The 23068-nt window shown below is 36.1% G+C and overlaps 1 protein-coding gene across 1 annotated transcript; it reads right to left on the bottom strand.

The window, feature by feature from the left end:
- Positions 1–21589: 21589 nt before the first annotated feature.
- On the bottom strand, positions 21590–22528 carry OR4L1 (olfactory receptor family 4 subfamily L member 1). The gene has a single exon (NM_001004717.1). The coding sequence runs from the start codon at positions 22526–22528 to the stop codon at positions 21590–21592; it is 939 nt and encodes a 312-aa protein (NP_001004717.1).
- Positions 22529–23068: the final 540 nt, after the last annotated feature.

Below are 23068 nucleotides of genomic sequence, written 5' to 3'. Positions count from 1 at the left end.
ACAGGAAGGGGGACTGTTGTGGGGTTGGGGGAGTGGGGAGGGATAGCATTAGGAGATACACCTAATGCTAAATGACGAGTTAATGGGTGCAGCACACCAGCATGGCACATGTATACATATGTAACTAACCTGCACATTGTGTACATGTACCCTAAAACTTAAAGTATAATAATAAAAAATGTTCAGCGTGCAGATATATTACCTCTGATTAAATTCATTCCTAAGTATTTTTGTAGCTATTGTAAATAGAACTATTCTCTTGATATCTTTTTACATTATTAGTGTATTACATTATTAGTGTATAGAAAAGCCACTGATTCTTGTGTGTCAATTTTGTATCCTTCAAGATTAATGAATTTGTTTATTAGCTCTAACAGTTTTGTCGTGGAATCTTTAGAGTTATATATAAGAAACATATATACACACACACTCAGCACATACAGATGTCATCTGTCTATCTATCTATCTATCTATCTATCTATCTATCTATCTATCTATCTATCATCTATCTATCTATTGCTTCCTTTAGGGCACATATAAGATTATGTCATCTACAAACAGAGACTATTTAACTTTTTTTATGATTAAGGTACCTTTTATATATTTTTTTCTTGCCAATTGCTCAGGCTCAGATTTTCAGTCCTGAATGGCTAGAATGGTGCACACTTGTCTTGTTCCCAATCTTAGAGGAAAAATTTTGAACTTTCATCATTGATTATGATGTTAGCTGTGAGCTTGTCACATACGGCCTCTATTATGTTAATGTACATTCCTTTTTTATATAATTCATGGAAAGATTTTAAACATTTAAAAAAATTATTGATAGTTGACAACTAATAAATGTATATATTTATGGGGTGGGGGGTATTTCAATGCATGTTTACAATGTAAATTTATTAAATCAGGATAATTACCAAATCTGTTGCCTCACATGCTTATTTTTTGTGATGAAAACATTTAAAATTTACTCTCAGCAATTTTGAAACATAAATGCAGTATTATTTATTATAGTTGGGAAGATGTCCAGAGAATTTTTTAGCATACAAAGATGATACATTTTGTCAAATCCCTTTTCTGCATCTATTAAGATGATCATATGGTTTTTGTCTTTCATTCTTAATGTGGTGTACCACATTTATTTATTTATTTGCGTATGTTGAATCATCCTTGCATCACTGGGATATATTCCATGTGATCATGGTGAATGATCTTTTTAATATGTTATTGAATTTGATCTGCAAATATTTTGTTAAGAATGTGTGCATCAATGTTTATCAGGAATATTAGCCTGTATTTTACTTTTCTGATTTTTCAATATTTATTTTAGATTCATGAGGTACAGATTTGTTACAAACATGCAGGTTTGTTACATGAGTACATTATGTGATGTTGAGATTTGGCATACAATTGATCCCATCACCCAGGTAGTGAGTGTGATACCTAATAGTTTTTCAATCCTTATCTTCCTTTCTCCCTCCCTTACACCTCTAGTAGTCTGCATTGTCTATTGTTCCCGTGTTTATGTCAATGAGTACCCAGTGGTTAACTCTCACTTACAAGTGAAAACATACGGTATTTAGTTTTCTGTTCCTGAATTGCTTTGCTTAGGATAATGGCCTTCAGCTACATTCATATTGTGGCAAATTACATAATTTCATTCTTTTTATGGCTGTCTAGTATTCCATGATGTATATGTACCACATTTTCTTTATTCAGTCCACCATTAATGGGTGCCTAGGTTGGTTCCATGTCTTTGCTATTGTGAATAGTGCTGCAATGAACATGCACATGTATGTGTCTTCTTAGCAGAATGATTTATTTTCTTTTAGTATATACCCAGTAATGAGATTGCTGAGTCTAATGGTAGTTCTGCTTTAAGTTCTTTGAGAAATCTCCAAACTGGTTTTCACAGTGGTTACACTAATTTACATTCTCACCAACAGCTTATAAGCATTCTCTTTTCTCTGCGGCCTCACCAGCATCTTTTATTTTGTGACTTTTTGATGTCAGAGTCACTCTGGATGGTGTGAGATGGCATCTCATTGCAGTTTTGATTTGCGTTTCTCTGATGATTACTGATGTTGAACATTGTTTCATTTGTTTCTTCTTTTGAGAAGTGTCTATTCATGTCTTTTGTTTACTTTTTAATGGAATTATTTGTTTTTTGCATGCTGCATTGTTTAAGTTTCTTACAGATTCTGGATATTACACTTGTTGGATGCATAGTTTGAAATTATTTTCTCCTATTCTGTAGGTTTTCTGTTTACATTGATAGTTTCTTTTGCTGTGCAGAGCTGTTTACTTTAATGAAGTTCTACTTGCCAATTTTTGTTTTTGTTGCAATTGCTTTTGAGGACTTAGCCATAAATTCTTTTCCAAGGCCAATGTCCAGAATGCCATTTCCCAGGTTTTCTTCTAAGATTCTTATAGTTTGAGGTCTTACTTTTACATCTTTTTGAGTTACCTTTTGTATATGGTGAAAGATAGGGGCTTAGTTTCATTCTTCTGAATATGCCCAGCCAGTAATCCAAGCACCATTTGTTGAATAGGGAGTCTTACATCATTGCTTATTTTTGTTGACTTTGTCAAAGAGCAGATAGTTGTAGGTGTGCAACTTTATTTCTGGGTTCTGTATTCTGTTTCATTGGTCTACGTGTCTGTTTATGTACCATTATCATGATGTCCTGATTACTGTAGCCTTATAGTATGGTTTGAATTCAGGTAATGTGATGCCTAGGATTTTATTCCTTTTACTGATGATTGGTTTGACTACTTGGCCTCTATTAAAATCCCTTATGGATTTTAAAATAGTTTTTTTCTAATTCTATGAAAAACGACATTGCTAGTTTGATAGGAATAGCTTTAAATCTGTAGATTTCTTTTTTTTATTTTATTATTATTATACTTTAAGTTTTAGAGTACATGTACACAATGTGCAGGTTAGTTACATATGTATACATGTGCCATGCTGGTGTGCTGCACCATTAACTCGTCATTTAGCATTAGGTGTATCTCCTAATGCTATCTCTCCCCCCTCCCCCCACCCCACAACAGTCCCCAGAGTGTGATGTTCCCCTTCCTGTGTCCATGTGTTCTCATTGTTCAATTCCCACCTATGAGTGAGAACATGCGGTGTTTGGTTTTTTGTTCTTGCGATAGTTTACTGAGAATGATGATTTCCAATTTCATCCATGTTCCTACAAAGGACATGAACTCATCATTTTTTATGGCTGCATAGTATTCCATGGTGTATTTCTTTGGGCAGTGTGGCAATGTTAATGATATTGATCCTTCCAAGGAATATTGGCCTATAGTTTTATTTTCAGTATCCCTATCTAGCTTTGGTGTCAGAGTAATGGTGGCCTTATAAAATTAGTTTGGGGGCTGGGGCATGGTGGCTGATGCCTGTAATCCCAGCACTTTGTGAGGCTGAGGCAGGTGGATCACGAGGTCAAGAGATCAAGACCATCCTGGCCAATATAGTGAAACCCCGTCTCTACTAAAAATACAAAAATTAACTGGGCATGGTGGCGTGGCCTGTAGTTCCAGCTACTCGGGAGGCTGAGGCAGGAGAATCTCTTAAACCTGGGAGGTGGAGGTTGCAGTGAGCCGAGATCGCACCATTGCACTCCAAACTGGGTGACAAGAGTGAAACTCTGTCTCAAAAAAAAAAAAAAAAAAAGAATTTGGGACTGTGTGCAGTGGCTCACGCCTGTAATCCCAGCGCTTTGGGAAGCTGAGGCGGGCCGATCACCTGAAGTCAGGAGTTTGAGTTCAGCCTGGCCAGCATGGTGAAACCCCGTCTCTACTAAAATTACAAAACCTAGCTGGGCGTGGTGGCAGGCGCCTTGTAATCCTAGCTACTTGGGAGGCTGAGGCAGGAGAATCTCTTGAACCCAGGAGGTGGAGGTTGCAGTGAGCCAAGATCGCACCATTGCACTCCAGCCTGGGTGACAAGAGTGGAACTCTGTCTCAAAAAAAAAAAAAAAATTTGGGACCGTGCACAGTGGCTCACGCCTGTAATCCCAGCACTTTGGGAAGCCAAGTCGGGCAGATCACCTGAAGTCAGGAGTTTGAGTTCAGCCTGGCCAGCATGGTGAAACTCCGTCTCTACTAAAATTACAAAACTTAGCTGGGAGTGGTGGCAGGCGCCTATAATCCCAGCTACTTGGGAGGCTGAGGCAGGAGAATCTCTTGAACCCAGGAGGCAGAGGTTGCAGTGAGCCAAGATTGCGTCATTGCACTCCAGCCTGGGTGACAAGAGCGAAACTCTGTCTAAAAAAGAGTTGGGAAGTATTCATTTTTCTTTAATTTTTGGATATGTTTGAAAGGGATTGATATCAGTTCTGTAAATATCTCATAGAACTTAGCAATTAAACAATCAGGTTCTGGACTTTTCTCTGATCAGAAACTTTTTTATTAATGACTCAATCCCCTTATTCTTTATTGATTTTTTCATGTTTTCTATTTTTTCATGATTCAATGTTGATAGGTTGTGTGCATCTTGGAATTTATCTATTTTTCTGGGTCTTCCAATTTGATGGCAAATAATTGTCCATAATGGACTCATAATATTTTGTACTTCTGTGGTATCAGATGTGATGTTCATTTTCTTATTTTTATTTATTTGACTCTGTCCTTTATTGTTCTCATTTAGCTACATTAAAAGATTTGCCAGATTTGTTTATATTTTCAAAAAAAACCTGCTTTTCATTCTGTTGAACTTTTCTATTGTTTTCTAGTCTCTATTTTATTTATAGCTATTTTGTTATTTATTATTTCTTCCTTCCAGTAAATTTTAGCTTATTTTGTTGTTCTTACTCTAGTTCCTCAAGGTGTAACAGTACATTTTTTATTTGCAATCTTTCTTCTTTTTTGATGTGTTTATTGCTACATTCTTCCCTCTTAGAACTGCTTTTCCTATACATTTTGTTGTTTTTCAATTTTTATTTGTTTCAAGATTTTTTAAAAAATTTCTATTTCATTGCTTCTTTGACCTTTTGTCTATTTATAAGGTTGTGGTTTATATTCCATATATTTGTGAATTTTCTCAAATTCATCCTATTATTGATTTCTAGACTTATTGTGTTAGAAAAAGATACTTACTTAATATGATTTCAAAATTTAAAGATTTTTTCAGACTTATTTTGTGGCCTAACATGTCATCTATTTTGGAGAATGTTCTGGGCATGCTGGAGAAAAACGTACATTCTGTTGCTGTATATTCTGTTGTTGTTGTATACCCTTGCAATTTTGGCAGCGGCCCGATGTAGTCTACTTACCACCTGGTCAAGGTCACTCGCCCTGTTATCACTTGTGTAACAGTGGGCAGCTGCCTCCATTTAGGGTATGACTGAGCACATGCTGGGCATTTCTGACGAGACTCTGAGACACATAGCCTATTCTGTATGTGTCTGTTAGGTCCATTTTCTTTAAGGTGTAGCTCAACCGTAATGTTTTCTTATTGATTTTCTGTCTGAATGATTTATCCATTGTTTAAAGTTGGGTACTACACTTCCCTATTATTATTGCATTGCAGTCTATCTTTCTCTTCAGACCTACTAATATTTGCTTTATATGTTTAGGTGCTCTGCTAATGGGTGCATATATACTTACAGTTCTTATGTCTTCTGGGTACACTGATATCTTTATCATTACACAGATTTTGTCTCATTTTATAGTTTTTGACTAAAAGGCTATCTTACATCATGTAAGAATAGCTACTCCTTCTCTCTTTGATTTGCATTGGCATAGAATATCTTTTCCAATTCCTTTGTTTTCAGTCTATGTGTGTTCTTAAAGTTGAAGTCAATATCTTGTAGGCAACAAATAGTTGGGACTAGTTTGTTTTTTAAATCCATTCTGCTACTTTGTCTTTTGATTAAAGAATTTTATTTATTTAAATTTATGGTTAATATGAATAAATAAGGATGTATTATTGCCGTTTTGTTCATCATTTTCTGGTTATTTTGTTGATCTTATTTTCCTTTTTTTCCTCCCTTGCTGTCTTTATTTATAATTAGATTTCTCTCTATATATATAAATATGTGCATAATATATGTAATATATATATAATGTAAGATTTTATATACTATGACATATATTAAGACATAATACAATATATAAGATCTATTATATATATAAAGCATAGTGATATGCTTTGAATCCTTACTTTTTTGCGTGTGTGTATCTATTAAGAGTTTTTGTTTTGTGGTAACCATAAGGCTTACATAAAACATCTTATAGTTATAATGGCCTATTTTACGCTAACAATTGTACTTTGTTTGCATAAAGAACCTCTACAATTTTACTCTTCCTCTCCACAACACATTTTCTGTTTCTGATGTCACAGTTTACATATTTTGTATGTATATGCCTTAAAAATTATTGTACGTATTATTTTGATTTTTTAAATCTTTTAACCTTCATACTAAATAAGTGATTTACACACTAGCATTACAGTGTTAGAGTTCTAAATTTGACTGTGTACCTAGTTTTAACAATGAGGTTTCTTCTTTAATATGTTTTCATGTTACTAAAAGCTGTCCTTTCTTATGCTCAAAGAACTCCCATTCATGTTTCTTATAAAAAAGATTTGGTGGTAATGAAATTCCTTAGCTCTTGTTTTTCTGGGATAGTCTTTATCTCTTCTTCGTGTCTGAGGGAAAGTTTTGCTGGGTGAACTATTCTTCATTTGAAAGTTTCTTTCATTCAGCACTTTAAATATATCATCCTATTCTCTTCTGGCCTACAAGGTATCTGCAGAGAAATCTGTTAGCCTCACTGAAACTTCCTTACGTGTGATATGTTTGTTTTCTCTTGTTGCTTTCAGGATTGTCTCTTCATAATTCGTTTTTGAAAGTTTGATTATAACATGTCTTGGTATAGTCTCGTTTTGGACTGAATGTTTTGGAAGACATTTGAGTATCCAAACCTGAATGCTTCTATTTTCCCTAGATTTGGAAAGCTTTTAGGTACTATTTCTTCAAATAAGCTTTCTGTCCCTTTGCCACTCTTTTCTCCTTCTTTATCTCCTACAATTCAAATAGTTGCCTTCTTGATGTGATCCCTTAAATCCCATAACCTTTCTTTATTTTTTGATTTTTGAAATTTTGTCTCTTCTGACTATATATTTTCAAATACACTATCTTCAGGTTCATAGATTATTTTGCTTAACTCTGCTCTTAATGTTCTCTGTTGCATTTTACATTCATTAGCTATATTTTTTGGCTTCAGAATTTCTAGGTTTTTTTTTTTGTATTTTTAATCTCTCAGTTAAGTTTCTAATTTTGTTTGTTTCCTGATTTTTAATCAACTTTCCTCTGTATTTTCTTGACATTCTCTTAGCTCCCTCATAAATACAATTATAAAATCTTTGTCAAGCCATTCATATATCCCCATTTTGGGGCATCAGCTCCAGGAAAATTATTGAATTTCTTTTTTGGTGGTTATATGTCTCCTTGGCTTTTTATGTTTATTGATGCCTTGCATTGAGGTCTACACATTTGGTAAAACAGTCACCTCTTTTTGACTTTATGAGTTCATTTTGGTGTGGAAAAACCTTCCCCTATGAAGAGAAGGGTGCAAGGGCACTGGTTCTAACACCAGTGAAGAAGCAGCTGTGAATTCCAGGGCATCTCTATTAGTTGTGGTCAGTATTAATGAAGATCACAAGGATTCTTGACAGGCAATACTGTACATGTTCACAGTACCATTGAATGACTGATGTGGTCTTCATTGGCAATTGCTGCTAAGGTCCTTCCAATGTCTGTATCTCCTACTGGGAAAGTTGTGGCTGAAGGGATCCCCCTTGACACTGTGTCCAATTTGTGGGCCCACTCCAGGGACAGTGGCACCAGTTTCTGATGAGTGCTAACCATGAAGTGACTGTGGAGCTGAGGCCTGAAGCATGAGCACATGTAGAGGGACTATGGCTCTGGGGTGTAGGGTGGTATAGGCAGTGGTACCCAGGGTGCACATGCCCTCATTGTCATGTTCATAACAACATGTAAGGCACAGGTGCTTGTGAAGCAAACAAGGTACAAAGAACAGAAGCATAGGTATGCACAGTATTGACAGGATATAGGGAGAGATGATGAGTCCCATCTGAAGGGGCACAACAATGACTGTGTCTTGAGGGGGTTAAGGTGTGTGGCTGCATCTAACTCTTTAGAGTTTCCCAGCAAGAATGGCTGTTGGTTGCCTCAGTGGCAAAAGATGCCAATGTTTTCTGAAGAGAAGGCCTTTGGGACCATAGTTCTTGCTGCATGGCTGACAGTGATAACCTCTGCCTTTTTTTTGTCCTTTGCCATCTCTTCATGTCTTAAGTTTGCTGATCTCACCAGAAATCTTTTCTGTGAGGATATTCTTGACTTTTTGCTCCATTATATTTCTGTAGATTATTTAGTGGGCCCTTAAGCTTTCTCAGAACTATTTTGGTTTGTGCATAGCTGTCTATGTTTGTTTTTCTGTGGGGAGGATAAATACTGGTATCTCCTACTCCTTCATCTTGGCGATGTCACTCATTCTAGATTACATTAATTATAAAATTTATTATGATAAATTTTTCACGTTTAATTCTAACTTGTCTGAAATTAATAAATGATAGGATATGAGTTTTTATTATTACAATTAAATAATTCATTTTATTAAGAATGTATAATGCTCTGGCCAGGTGCGGTGGCTCATGCCTGTAATCCCAGCACTTTAGGAGGCTGAGGCATGTGGAGTTCGAGACCAGCCTGGCCAACATGGTGAAACCCCATCTCAACTCAAAATACAAAAAATTAGCCAGGCGTGGTGGCAGGTACCTGTAATCCCAGCTACTGGGGAGGCCAAGGCAGGAGAATCGCTTGAACCCGGGAGGCAGAGGTTGCAGTAAGCTGAGATGGCACCATTGCACCATTACACTCCAGCCTGGGCAACAAGAGTGAAACTCTGTCAAAAAAAATAAATAAATAAATAAAAAAGAAAGAAAACGGATAATGCTCCCTTTATATTTATTTAAATTGGAGATAAGTCTGGCTACTTTTTAGATCTATTCATTTTTGTCATTGTTTTTGTGTTCTTAAAATTTTTGTCTTCTTTTATGGCTCACAGAAAAGTTTTGTCATCTTCATTTTGTCAGCAATGTTTTTGTAACATATTTGTGGTTAAATAAAATTTGCGTATTTCCTACTTTGATGCTATACTTAATATGATTTTTCTCTTTATATTAATTCATCTTATTGCTATTGTTATCTGTAAATGTTTTATATATATATATATTTAAGTGGTAAATGGAATCAAATCTCATGTTCAATATTTTTCTAATTGGTTCTCTTCTATTTTTTGTATTATTGATAAGATAGATAATATTCACATTAAAATATTTCTCTACTATTATTTTATTACCTTATTTCATTAACTTGAAATTTTTGAGCAATATTGAATACCAATGGTGATAACTGGCTATGGTAGAACTCGTTGGTTTCCCAGTAATGATTCTTTCTTCTTTCTTGGTAATTGAAACCATATATTCTCTGGGATAGGCTGACTATGTGCTTCCATGGAGGATCAAATCTTTTTCATAAGACATCTGTCTAGGACAATCAAAGTGCTTTCACTTCACTCACCAGAGACTAGTTTAGCAATGAGCATTAACTGTGTCCCAGAGACTAGTAGTGTCCTCTGAAAGGTCATTCTCTTATTCTTCCTTGGTAAGAGACACCTAAATTCAGTTAGAGTATACTATACAGTCTACCTTAAACTTAGAAGGAGCAAATTCCAAAAAAACCCCTATATTATTGGGTAGCTCTTTGATGAAATTTGTATTGGAGCTGACTCAGTAGAGAGTTATGCCCTTTGCCTCTGCCCAACTCTGTAATTTCTGGGGTCTAATTGAGAAAAGAAAAATAACTCTGAGTATTTCAAACAGGTTATTTAGCTACTCAAGCGATGGAATAGCTAAGATGTTGAACAGGATATGTTCAGAGAAACCAAAGATGACTATCAAATGGAAGCCACTATCACATCTAAGCTGTAGGAACAAGAGAAGAGGCACTCTCACCACAGGCCAAGTGTGGGGTCGTGTTAGTTTTCTATTTCTTTCCTAGCAAATTATACAAATTTATTTGCTTCAAGCAACACAAATTCATCATTTTACAGTCCAGTAGGTTGAAGTTAAATATGAATCTCACTAGGCTAAAATCAAGGCATCAACAGGATTAAATTTTTTTCTAGAGACTTTGGGGGAATTCATTTCCAGGACTGTGGACAGGTTGTGGGCAGGATTTCACTCTGTGTGATTGTAGGACTGACATCTCCATTTCTTTGCTGGTTGCCATTCAAGGGTTATCCTTAATATTTAGATACTATCTGATCTTCCTTTGTCATGATCCCCTTCCTCTTTTAAGCCATTAACAGTGGACGGGACCCTTTGAAAGGCTCATCCCCAGCCGGGCACGGTGGCTCGTGCCTATAATCCCAGCACTTTGGGAGGCTGAGGCGGGTGGATCAGGAGGCCAGGAGATTGAGACCATTCTGGCTAACACGGTGAAACCCCGTTTCTACTAAAAATACAAAAAATTAGCCCATGTGGTGGTGGGCGCCTGTAATCCCAGCTACTCAGGAGGCTGAGGCAGGTGCTTGAACCTGGGAGGTGGAGGTTGCAGTGAGCCAAGATCGTGCCACTGCCAAGACTCTGTCTCAAAAAAAAAAAAAAAAAAAAAGGCCTTCTCTTCTGCCATGACTCTCTTTTTCTATACTGACAGGAAAGCTTTATCACTTTTAGAAATTCATGTTATTACACTGGACACATTCAAATATTCCAGGAAATCTTCTCATATCAAAGTTTGTGAACTAAATCACATAAGCGAAGTTTGTTGTTGTTGGTGGTTTTTCTTTTTTTTTCTCTCTGTTTTTTTTTTTTTTTTTTTTTTTGCACTGTAATGTATCATACTCACAAGTTTTGGGATTAGGGTCTGGACTTCATTGGGAGACCATTATTCTGCTTTCAATAGCTTATGGTCAAAAGTTAGAAATATGGTGGTTCTTGGCAGGGTGCGGTGGCTCACGCATGTAATCCCAGCACTTTGGGAGGCCAAAGAGGGCAGACTACCTGAGGTCAGGAGTCCGAGACCAGCCTGGCCAATATGGCAAAACCCAATCTCTACTAAAAATACAAAAATTAGCTGGGCATGGTGGCAAGTGCCTATAATCCCAGCTACTCAGGAGGCTGAGGCAGGAGAATCACTTGAACCTGGGAGGCGGAGGCTGCAGTGAGCCGAGATGGCGCAACTGCACTCTAGCTTGGGCAACAGAGTGAAACTCTGTCCAAAAAAAAAAAAAGAAATATGACTGTTTTTTCTACCAGGAGAGCAGGAGCCATGAACTTGATACAACTACTTGTAGAGATGTAGGCATAGGCAGTGTGCTGGGTGCAGTGAGAGGTTGAGGGGTGAAGTGGGCTTCTGTATCCCTTCCTATTAATCTACCAATGACTCTCCATTAATCTACCTGTCACTTTTATTTGTTATTTGTGACTATCAGGAATCTAGGTGACATAGAAACTTGGAAATGCATTCTTAATCAATAGGCCTCTGTATAATACAAAGCAAAACTAAAAAAAAATGAAAACTTTGCATCGGAAGAAAAACGAGCTCACGAGCTCACATCCTTTTAGTTTTCTTTATGTCTAGAATGTAAATGTGATGTGTGGAGTTTCTACAGATAGTTTGTGACATTGAGGTCAGAATATTAATCTAAAGCAAAAAATAAACAGGAAGTTTCATACTTCCTGATTTTGTGAAGCTGGCATACCAACAGTGAGGTAATATTCTATCAATTGGTTTTACAAGGAAAATAAACTTTCGTCTGATTTATTTATAACACTATAGTCTAGTTGATTACTAGCAGACTGACAGATACAAATATAATTCTGACCAGACATCTGTGAGGTAGAGTTACCCAAAGAGCATGCAAGTAAAACTTTCAATATTCCTAAGATGGAACATTAGAAAAATATTTTCTCTTTGAACATTTGTTCACCGTGAAGATCAAGTGTGAGGACAAATCCTCATTATTTAAGAAGGTAATCCTAATATTTCAGTGAAGGTTTTAGCGTTTTTATTTGTTATGGTCATGGTGAAAGATCACCTTAAAAGTAATGGACAAATATTGCACCTTGTACTTTAATCACTAAACTTTTAAGGAGATTGCATATTGTCTGGTGATCCTATTTCAGTTCTGAAGGCACTATATTCCAATACTTGGGATGATTGCTTTGACTCATTTTTTATTGACATACAGACTTCTAGCTTTTGGTGGAGTCCAGTATAAGAAAGGAATATTAGCACATCTAGCATACAGTGTGTATACTAGATCTAGTATCAAGTAGTCATACTACTCGAACCACATATCCAGGTAAAGTCTGTGGCACTACAATTGTCTGTGCTGGAGAAATACAGCATTTGTAGGTTTTGGCAAACCCTAGTAGAAGAATAACAATGTAGATTCCTAAGGTCATGTAGCTTGAACCATAGCATCTGTAGCAAAACTGGAAATACATGAATTTTAAATCAGCTCCTAGATTTCACTCTATTCTAATAAGGATGAAACATGTGATTATGGAACTTATGTTGACTATAGAAGCAGAGCTATCTACAAAAAAACTTGATTATTTGATATTAATATTCACTAGACAGCATCAAAAAAAGGCATGAAATAAACAAGATGACATAATGGCTCATCCAGTTGATATAAACTACTTGCTATTATTGAAGTAGTCATAATAGTAGAAAAGGAGGTTGTGTATGGACCCACTGCTTGGCTTCCTACTCACCAAGATCACACTTGCTGTGGTGCAATAAATGTCATCAACAAAACTAACCTGAACCCCCTAATCTGGTACCATCTTGTAGACAGAATAACCAGCCACTGGGACAAGTTGATGTTATTACCCATTTTATTCTAGATGAGACAATGACTCATCTTCATGGGAAGATATATACAGAAGGCATAGGGTTGCATTCTACATTTACAGGGTGCTATCTGAAGGTATATACAGAGTTTAATCAAAGAATTATCTTATAACATATCTGAATCCAAGTTGTAAGTGTTGACCAATAATCATGGCTCTATTGGACCTATCATTTACAGGTTATTTTAAACAGATAACTTTGATCACATTAAAAAAAAAAACTGTATGTGCTAACTCCTCTCCCTCCCATATTAAAAATTTTGGATGTCAAAATTTACACCTTTATACATTGCATATCCCTAACAGATTATTGCAGTTATTATTATTTTTATTTTTCTAATTTAATATACTTGTTATTAGAGAAAAATGCCTATATATATATTTTTTTTTCAACTTTTATTTTAGGTTTAGTGGGTACATGTACAGGTTTATAACATGGGTGAATTGCATGTCAATGAGGTTTGGTGTACAAATGATTTCATCACCCCGGTAGTGAGTGGAGTATTCAATAGGTAGTTGTTTGACCCTCATTCTCTTCCCACCCTACACTATCAAGCAGGCCCCAGTATTTATTGTTTCCCTCTTTGTATCCATGTGTACTCAATGTTTATCTTCCACTTGTAAATGAGAATGTGCAGTATTTGGTTTTCTCTTTCTGTATTAATTCACTTAGGTAATGGCCTCCAGCTACATCCATGTTGCTTCAAAGGACAGTATTTCATTCTTTTTATGGCTGCATTGTATTCCATAGTGTATATGTACCACTTTTTTTTTTTAATTCAGTCCACTGCTAATGGGCATCTAGGTTGATTCCATGTCTTTGCTATTGTGAACAGTGCTTCAGTGAATATACAAGATTGGGTGCCTTTTTGGTAGAATTCTCTGTATTCATTTGTATGTATACCCTAGTAATGAGATTGCTGGGTCAAGTGGTAGTTCTGTTTTAAGTTTTTTGAGAAATCTTTAAAATGCATTCCACAGTGGCTGAAATAATTACGTTCTCACCAGCAGTGTGTAAGAGTTCCCTTTTCTCTGCAACCTCACCAATATCTGCTTTTTAAAATTTATTTTTTATTTTTTGTAATAGCCATTCTGACTTTTGTGAGATGTGGCATTTCATTGTGGTTTTGATTTGCATTTCTCTAATGACTAGTGATGTGGAATATTTTTTCATATGTTTGTGGCCACATATGTGTCTTCTTTTGAGAAGTATCTGCTCTTGTCTTTTGGCCACTTTTTAATATGGTTGTTTGTTTTTTTCTTGTTTACTTAAGTTCATTATAGATTCTGGATATTAGAATTTTATCAGATGCATAGTTTGCATATATTTTCTCCCATTCTGTAGGTTGTCTGTTTATGCTGTCAATTGTTTCTTTTGCTGTGCAGAAGTAATTAGATCTGATTTTTTTTTGTTAACCTTTAATTTCAGAGACCTAGTCATAAAATCTTTGCCATTGCCTAAGTCCTGAACGGTATGTCCTATGTTTGTTTCCAGGGTTTTTATAGTTTTAGGTCTTACATTTAAGTCTTTAATGCACATTGAGTTGATTTTTGTATAAGATGAAAGGAAGAGATCCAGTCTCATTCTACTGCATATGGCTAGCCAGTTATTGCAATGCCATTTATTGAATACGTAGTCTTTTTTCCACTGCATGTTATTGTCAACTTTGTTGAGGATCAGATGGTTGTAAGTGTGTGGCTTTATTTTTGGGTTTTCTGTTCTGTTTCATTGGCCTATGTGTCTGTTTTTGTACAAGTACCATGCTGTTTTGTTTACTGTAGTCTCATATATAGCTTGTAGTTGGGTAGTGTGATGCCTCTTGCTTTGTTCTTTTTGATCAGAATTGATTTAGCTATTTGGGCTCCTTTTGGGGTTTCATTTGAATTGTAGAATACTTTTTTTCTAATTCTGTGAAACATAAAATTGATAGTTTAATAGAAATAGTATTTAATCTGTAAATTGCTTTGGGCAGCTATTTAATGGCTATTTTAATGATACTGATTCTTCTAATCTATGGGCATAGGATTTCTTTGCATTTGTGTCATCTCTGATATATTTCAGCAATGTTTTGTAATTCTCATTTCAGAGATCTTTCACCTCCCTGTTTAGCCATATTTCTAGGTATTTTACTCTTTTTGTGGCTTCTGTGAATGAAACTGCATTCTTGATTGGGGTCTCAGCTTGGACATTATTGGTGTATAGAAATGCTAATAATTTTTGTACATTGATTTTGTATCCCGAAACTTTACTGAAGCTGATTTTCAGATCTAGAAGTCTTTGGGCAGAGACTGCAGGTTTTCTAGGTATAGAATCATATTATTTATGAGGAGAAATAGTTTGACTTTCTCTTTTGTTATATTTATTTCTCTCTCTCGCCTGATTACTCTGGATAGGACTTCCAGTACTATGTTGAATATAAGTGATGAGAGTGAGCATTCTTATCTTGTTCCATTTCTCAGAAGGAATGCTTCCAGCTTTTTCCCATTCAGTATGATGTTGGCTGTCAGTTTGCATATATGGCTCTTATTATTTTGAGGTATGTTTCTTTGATGGCTTGTTCGTTGAATTTTTTTTAACATGAAAGGATGTTGAATTTTATCAAAATCTTTTTCTGTGTCTGTTTATATGATCATGTGGGTTCTGTTTTTAGTTCTGTTTATGTGATGAATCACATTTATTGATCTGCATATGTTGAACCAGCCTTGCATTGCAGGAATAAAACCTACTTGATTGTGGTGTATTAGCTCTTTGATATTCCACTAGATTTGATTTCCTCATACTTTGTTGATGATTTGTATATCTATGTTCATCAAGGATATTGGCATGAAATTTTCTTTCTTTGTTTTGTTTCTGCCAGGTTTTGAAATAATGCTGGCCTCATACATTAAGTTAGGGAGGAGTCTTTCCTTTTTGATATTTTGGAATAATTTCAGTAGGACTGGTACTAGCTCTTTTTTTTAAATCTGGTAGAATTTGGCTGTGAAACCATCTGGTCCAGGGCTTTTTCTGATTGGTAGATTTCTGTATTATGGATTCAATTTCAGAATTTGTGAATTAATTTTTTATGAGACAAGGTCTTATTCCATCGTCCAGGATGGAGTGCAGTGGCATAATGATAGCTCACCAAAGCCTCAAAATCCTGGGCTCAAGCAGTCCTTGCATTCAGCCTCCTGAGAGTTCTATTTTTTAATGGCCATGCTAAATATATAGGTAGTTTATACAGCTTGATTATTCAAATATATTGAGTTAGACTGTATATTTATTTTTACCAGTGAGTTTTATACCTTCAGATTTTTTATACTACTTAGTAGTTTCCTTGTCTTTCATTTTGAAGAGTTCCTTTTAGCATTTGCAAAATAGGTCTGTATTAATAAACTTTCTCAACTTTCATTCGTCTGGGAAAGTCTTTACGTATCCTTCAACACTCAAGTATTGCTTTGCTGGATACAGTATTCTTGGCTGCTAGGCTTTTTTCTTAATATTTAAATATATCATCCCAACTCCTCCTTGCCTATAAGACTTTTTTTTGTTTTTGTTTTGAGAAGCGTGCTGCCAGGCATATTGGAGCTCTTTTGTATGTTATTTGTTTCTTTTCTCTTGTTTCTTTCAGGATCCCCTCTTTGTCTTTCATCTTATACAGTTTAATTATACTATATCTTTTGATACTATTATTGGGATTGCATCTGACTTGGTGTCTTTTGTGCCTGAGTAGTTACATCTTTCTCTAGGTTTGTAAGTTGTCTGTTATTTTTAAAATAAGTTTTCTAACTCTTTGTCTTTTTCTACTCCCTTCTAAACCCCAGTAACCCAAATATCTGCTCTTTTAATGTTGTCCCATAAATCTGACAAACTTTCTTTGTTCCTTTTAATTCTGTTTTGTTTTTTCATCTCAGATCGTATATTTTTAAATAGCCTGTCTTCCTAACTCACTGATTCTTTTTTCTGCTTTACCTATTTTTGCTACTGATGCTTTCAGTTGCATTTATTTCATTCCCTGTATGTTACAGATCCAAAGTTACTGTTTGATTTTTTATTATTTTAATCTCTATGTTAAATTTCTCTGAAAAATTTAAAAACTGTCTCTCAATTTTCTTTAAGTTAACTGAGCTTCCTTAAAAACAGGTAGTTTGAGTTATTTGTCAGGCAGATCATAGATCTCCATCTCTTTAGGGTCAGCAGTTTGCATCTTATTTTATGCCAGTGATGTCAGTTTCTCTGGTTGTTCTTGGTCCTTGTGGTCATGTTTCAATATCTGTGCATTGGATGACATAGGAATGTATTGCAATCTTTGCAGTCTTGCTTTTCTGTGATTGCCCTTCTACAGTAGGCATGTTCAGGAATATTGAGAAGACTGTTGTGGTTCCTAAGCCTGTGACTGTTGAAGTCATTGTCAGCACTGCAATGACTTCAGCTGTTACAGGCTTAGAAACCACAAGGTCCATAGTGGCTGCTGTTGCCCAAGCTGGAGTCCCATGAAGAGTTGGAGGTAAGGTGAAGGTTTGCTTCTGGATTCTCAGACAGCAGCCCTGTTACCTGCAATGCTGACAGGTTTGGCTTTCTCCGAGTTTCTGAGAGGCCTTTCACTACATCATTTGATGAGTCTTTGGGTTGGCCATACTACAAATGGCTACAATGAGCTGGAAATAAACACAGGGTTGTTTCAAGCCTAGAGTTGAGACTGAGATCTTTAGACCTGTCTTCATAGTCACGGACAGCCATGTCTCCCAGGGAGTTACAGGGTGAGCAGGCCTGCTCTCAGACTGCAGTTAAGAAGAAATGAAATCAATTTATAGGGCTCTTTGAAGATTCACAATGTGATCAAAAGCAGGGCATAACACTGCAAAAACGCTATTGAACTTTCCTCTCTCCAAGTCTCCAGGCAGGCAGAGGTGTTGTTAGTCTATAGATAAGAGGAGCCAGGACTAAGATCTAGGGATGTTTGAGGAACTGTTGAAGGAAGAGGCTGGCAAGCACAGGGGCTCAGCTTAGTGTATCTCTTGGCAGGAGCTTGACTGAGTAGAACTTCTTCCAGACCACAGCTGGGAGGGACTAAAACTAACCTTCAGGGTAATTCAGAATCTGCTGTGAGACTGTTGGCAAACCCAGTCCAGTAACACCAATGGGCAAGATTCTCAGAAGTGCCCTATGTGGGCAGTATTGCTTGCATAGTACAGTTGAGGGGGGCTGGAACTGGCATTCATGGTTCTTTCTGAAACTTCTGTGGCATGGTGGCTGGCAATCCTGCCCAGGTATATCTCCCAGGAGTTATCTGCACAAGCAGAATAACTCTGGTGCTGCAGCAGAGAAGGGCTGAGGCCAAGAAAAGGCCCCTTCAGGATCTTCTGTGGGTGGGAAGCCAGTAAACCTGTCCAAATGGCTTAGATAGGTGTGTCACCCAGTAATTCCCTGCACAGGTAGGATAGTTCTCTGACTATGGCAAAAAAAAAAAAAAAAAAAAAGGTGAAGCTGGGACAGGACCCCTTCAGGATCTGTTGTTGGTCAAAGGCTGGCAAGCCTGTACCAATGGCTCAGATGACAGTGGGGCAGCTCTTTGGCTGCCACAGAGAAAGGCTGAAGCCAAGGCTCCTGCAGAATCCACTGTTGGACAGAGGCAAGCAAACCCACCCTGGTGGTCCAGAGTGTATGTCTGTGGGAGGGTATTCCCAGGCTGTAGCAGAGAGGTACCGGAACCCTACATCCCCTTTAGAGTTTGCTGTGGGACAGAGGCCAGCAAGCTCATCTATCCCAGTGGTTCAATAGGGTGTGCCTCCCTCTGGGTCCTTGTGTGAGTTGCACTATGCTAGGACCAACACTAATGGGGCTGGAACTGAGTTACAGGTTAACTTTCAGGTCTACTGCTGACACTGATTTCAGTGATAAGAGCCTATCCACTGAGGCACACTGGTGCTTGTGATTCCTCCTGGCCCCTTTGGCAGATAGTTTTGGTTGTGGGCTCAAAGCCACTTGGGGCTGTAGCCAATCCCTTCAGAAAATGTGGCCATTTCCAGGTTTGAACCCAGGAAAATGATTAGCAGTTCTGCCACCTGGATGTGGGTCTGCTCCCTCAAAATGGCTGTCCTAGGTTTTGGGATCTATTGGTGTTCCACAACCTTCTGCCTGAACCCAAAGGCTCCTTCTAAGAGACTTTTTTCTGTGAATGGGTTCAGAATTCTTATGGGAGGATATGAGTGGGTTGTCATTGTGTTATCTGGCTAATGTCACTCCAAGTCAGATTCTTGAGTTATGTGGCTGAGGCTCAAAGATCAATCTCTATGAAGGTACTTTATTTTCAGTGAGGATTTGTCTTTTCTTCCGCCATACACTTCTTAGAAAAGCATTTACTTTAATCTTCATGAATCAAGGTTGAGACAGACTTTTTTTTTCTTGGTGTCTGCTTTTGGTAGGCTGGCTTTCTTACACTTTTTTTTCAGAGTCTGAGCCCTCAGCATTGCCTGCAATCTATTCCCTCCCTGTTCAGCCTCAAAGTCCAATGCACAGTGCTTTCCCAATTTCAAACTTCTATCTAGGCAATGGATGTGTAGATGTTCTCAGAGAGAGCAATGGTTCAGTGCTGCTTTACCTTCCTGGAATGGAATTCAAGTTTTATACTGGGCCTCAGGTGTGATTTACTTTAATTTTTTTTCAATAGCTTTAAGTGATTTAAAAGATGTTTTAAATAATCTTAGCAAACATAGATGTTTTGTAACTAAAAAGTTTTAGGATCCTGAGTGTGCTATACTGACAGATACAAAAATCTTACACAGTATTTTATCAACTAGAAAATAATCTTATCTACCAGCGGATGCATATTTTACCTTTTAAATGATTGAAATTTCCTTAATATGGGTGGTGCTATAATGTATGACTGTGAAGTTTCTTGTTGTTGCAGTTTACTATGTAGCAAAGAGTCCAATGTAGTTTGTAATAGCAAGTATTCTAAACTTGCAGTATTTCTTCTCCCATTTGCTTTAAATTTATTATGTATTTGATTCTCTTTGGATTTAGTTACAGAGCTCTAATCCCTGTAGTTCCATTATTGAAGTATACGAGCACCATATGCCTTGTGTACTTCTAATATTTTTAACACATCACATCTCACAGTAAGAATACATGTTCTCCATAGTAGTAGGTTAAATTGAATATTATTATTCTAGAATATGGTTATTTCATCTTTTCTTTATTCATTAGGTATGAACTACTATGTATCAATATCTGTGCTAGATATTAGAGATCTATAGAATTCATAGGCTAAGACAAAGCAGATATTAACATATAATTACACAAGCAATTATTACCATAATATATGAGAAGGATGGAAATTGTAGCATGCCATAAATGAGTAAAATAAAGAAATCTAAACTGGCAAAGAACATGTAGGAAAAGTGATCTAAAATATAATATTTCATCTGGGTCTTCTGAGAGGTTATTACCTTGGTGAAGAGGAGATGAAAGATTCTTTTACCTAAAGGGAAGAGTTTAGAAAAAGTCAGTTAACAAGATGTCTGGTGTTTTGAACAACTTGAAAGAAGGCCAGTGTAACTCTACTATTATGGAAAAGGATAGATTGGAGCAAAATTCCAGAAGCAAGCCATATTATGAAGGCCAGTTGAGAATTTGAACCTAAGTCTTCATGCCATAAAATAGTTTTAATCCAGAAAATGACATTGAGAGTTACATTTTTATGACCTAACTCTGGCTGCTTATAGAGAATGCATTGAATGGAAGAAAGGATTTATGTAACTGATTTAGGATTAATTACAAAGCTCACCTAGCATAAGCAAGAAATGATGGTGTCTTTAATTAAGAGAAAATAAGCTTAATTATCAATGCATACTATTTCAAATTTTGAATGCACTTCTCACTTCCCTCTCCAACATGCACAAACATCAGATTTAGCTTATAAATCAGTAAAGGTTGGAATCCTACCAGAGGAAAATTTAGCTGTAATTTTATGTAAAGCCCTTAAAAAGGTAAAGCTACATGGTATATTACACAAAATAAAAAGGATTTTGTTTTTATTTTTATTTATTGAAGTTTGAAAGTCAGCTGTGTTTACTTATATTCCTCAGAGCATTTGGTTTCAAAAAGGGCTGTTCGTTTGTAGTTCTACTAAAATTGTCGTTCCATTGGCATTTTTCTCTGGCATCTTATAGTCACTGTGCTGTTGAATTTGTGGACTCATTCTTACTTTTTGCCTCCATTGATTCAAGAAACTAGAATTGCTTTTTCTGTTAACATTATTTAATTCATGACTTGTTCATGATACCTCATTTAATAATAGTATAAATTTATGAATAACATTATCAATATATATTAAAATAACCTCTAATAATATTCATATCTTCATGTATTCATTTACAGTTGTTTCTTTATTAATGAATATATTGAATGTATATGATAAAAATCCTCAATAATCTTTTTATGTTTATTTATGTCTATTTTTATGTCTATTTTGCTGCAGATCTCTATCCTTATGTTTATAAAAGTCTTAAATGTAAAATTTAAAGTAATTTAGTATTGTCTTTATGCGTTATTATTATAACATAAGAAAAGTGAAATGATGCATTATACATAATCTATTCAAACTATCTTATCGTAGCATTTAAAAGTTAATTATATAGTGCTAACATCTAGAAATTCTGTGCAGAACTAACATATTGGAACCGTAATTTTCTTATGGCCTCTTGCATTTTCTTATTTCTCAGGGTATAAATACTCGGATTCAGTAAGGGTGTGATAACTGTATAAAATACGGCAAGAGTTTTATTGCTTGCCAAACTACTGAATGGCCAAACATAGATAAAAATACAAGGTCCAAAGAACAGAGTGACCACAATGATGTGGGCAGACAATGTGGACAGCGCCTTGGAGAGCCCATGTGATGATTTTTTTGGTACACTGACCAGGATGACAATGTAAGAAACAAGCAAGAGGATGAAACAGGTGAAAGAGAGCAGCCCGCTGTCAGCAATGACAAATAATTCCAGGGTGTATGTTTCAATGCAAGCAAGCTTGATCACAAGGGGAAGATCACAAAATATGTTGTTTATGACATTGTGGCCACAGAAAGGCAAGTTCATTGTTAAAACTATCTGGCTTATGGAGTGTAAAAAACCAATTATCCATGAAAGTATCGCAAACCCCTTTAGCAGCTTGTGGCTCATGATTGTCCTATAGTGCAGGGGTTTACATATGGCTACATACCTGTCAAAGGCCATGATTATCAGAAGAGTCATCTCAGCACCCCCAAAGAAGTGCATGAAGAACATCTGGGTCACGCAGCCCCACACAGAGATGGTCTTGTGGTCAGTGAGCAAATCTATGATCATCTTGGGTGTTGTGGCAGTGGAGAGACACATGTCCAAAAAAGAGAGATTTCCAAGGAGAAAGTACAAGGGAGAATGAAGGGTTGACCTACATGTCACTGTGACCATAATGAGAATGTTTCCCATCACAGTAGCACCGTAGATCAGGGAAAATGTCACAAAGAAGAAAATTTGAAGTTCCCATCGTCCAAAAAATCCTAGTAAAATAAACTCGGTCACTAGAGATCCATTTTTAAGATCCATTTACTCAACTCAGAAAGGTTCCAGAAGTTCTTTATATACAAAGAGAATTAAAAAATAAGTCACAGTTAACACCAATATTTTCTTATTTCTATTAGTTGGTGATAATAGTTGATGATATGAGATCATATAATTTTAAATATATCAACACAGAGATTAGCTTAAATATTATATCACTTTGAAACAATTACTCTGCAGTAATTACAAATCATTTGAAGAAGTAGAAGTTCCATTTTCTATTGTTTATTCCATAAAATCATACTCTTATCAATGGATCTTGACTTTCTTACTCATTTGTTCACATATAAAGATTAGATACTAATTAATTACTTTTTATTTTGCCTTTTATTATTATAGTATTCTGTACCTGCACTTCTTGAGATTATGTTATCCCAATATATAAGGAATACAAGATTTAGAAAATGAAGAATTACATTGTTCTACATCTCTGAAGTAATTTATGAAGGTTTTTCTATGGTTCTAAACTAAATAAGCAAACAAACAAACAAAAAGCACACACACACACACACACAAATCAGGAGC

The sequence above is a fragment of the Homo sapiens genome, chromosome 14, assembly GCF_000001405.40.
Source record: "Homo sapiens chromosome 14, GRCh38.p14 Primary Assembly".
NCBI classification, from domain to species: domain Eukaryota; kingdom Metazoa; phylum Chordata; class Mammalia; order Primates; family Hominidae; genus Homo; species Homo sapiens.
This window is presented reverse-complemented; position numbering and strand designations above follow the sequence as displayed.

Excerpts from the sequence above, each read along its gene's own strand:
- OR4L1 (NM_001004717.1), bottom strand. The coding sequence starts at position 22,528 with ATGGATCTTAAAAATGGATCTCTAGTGACCGAGTTTATTTTACTAGGA.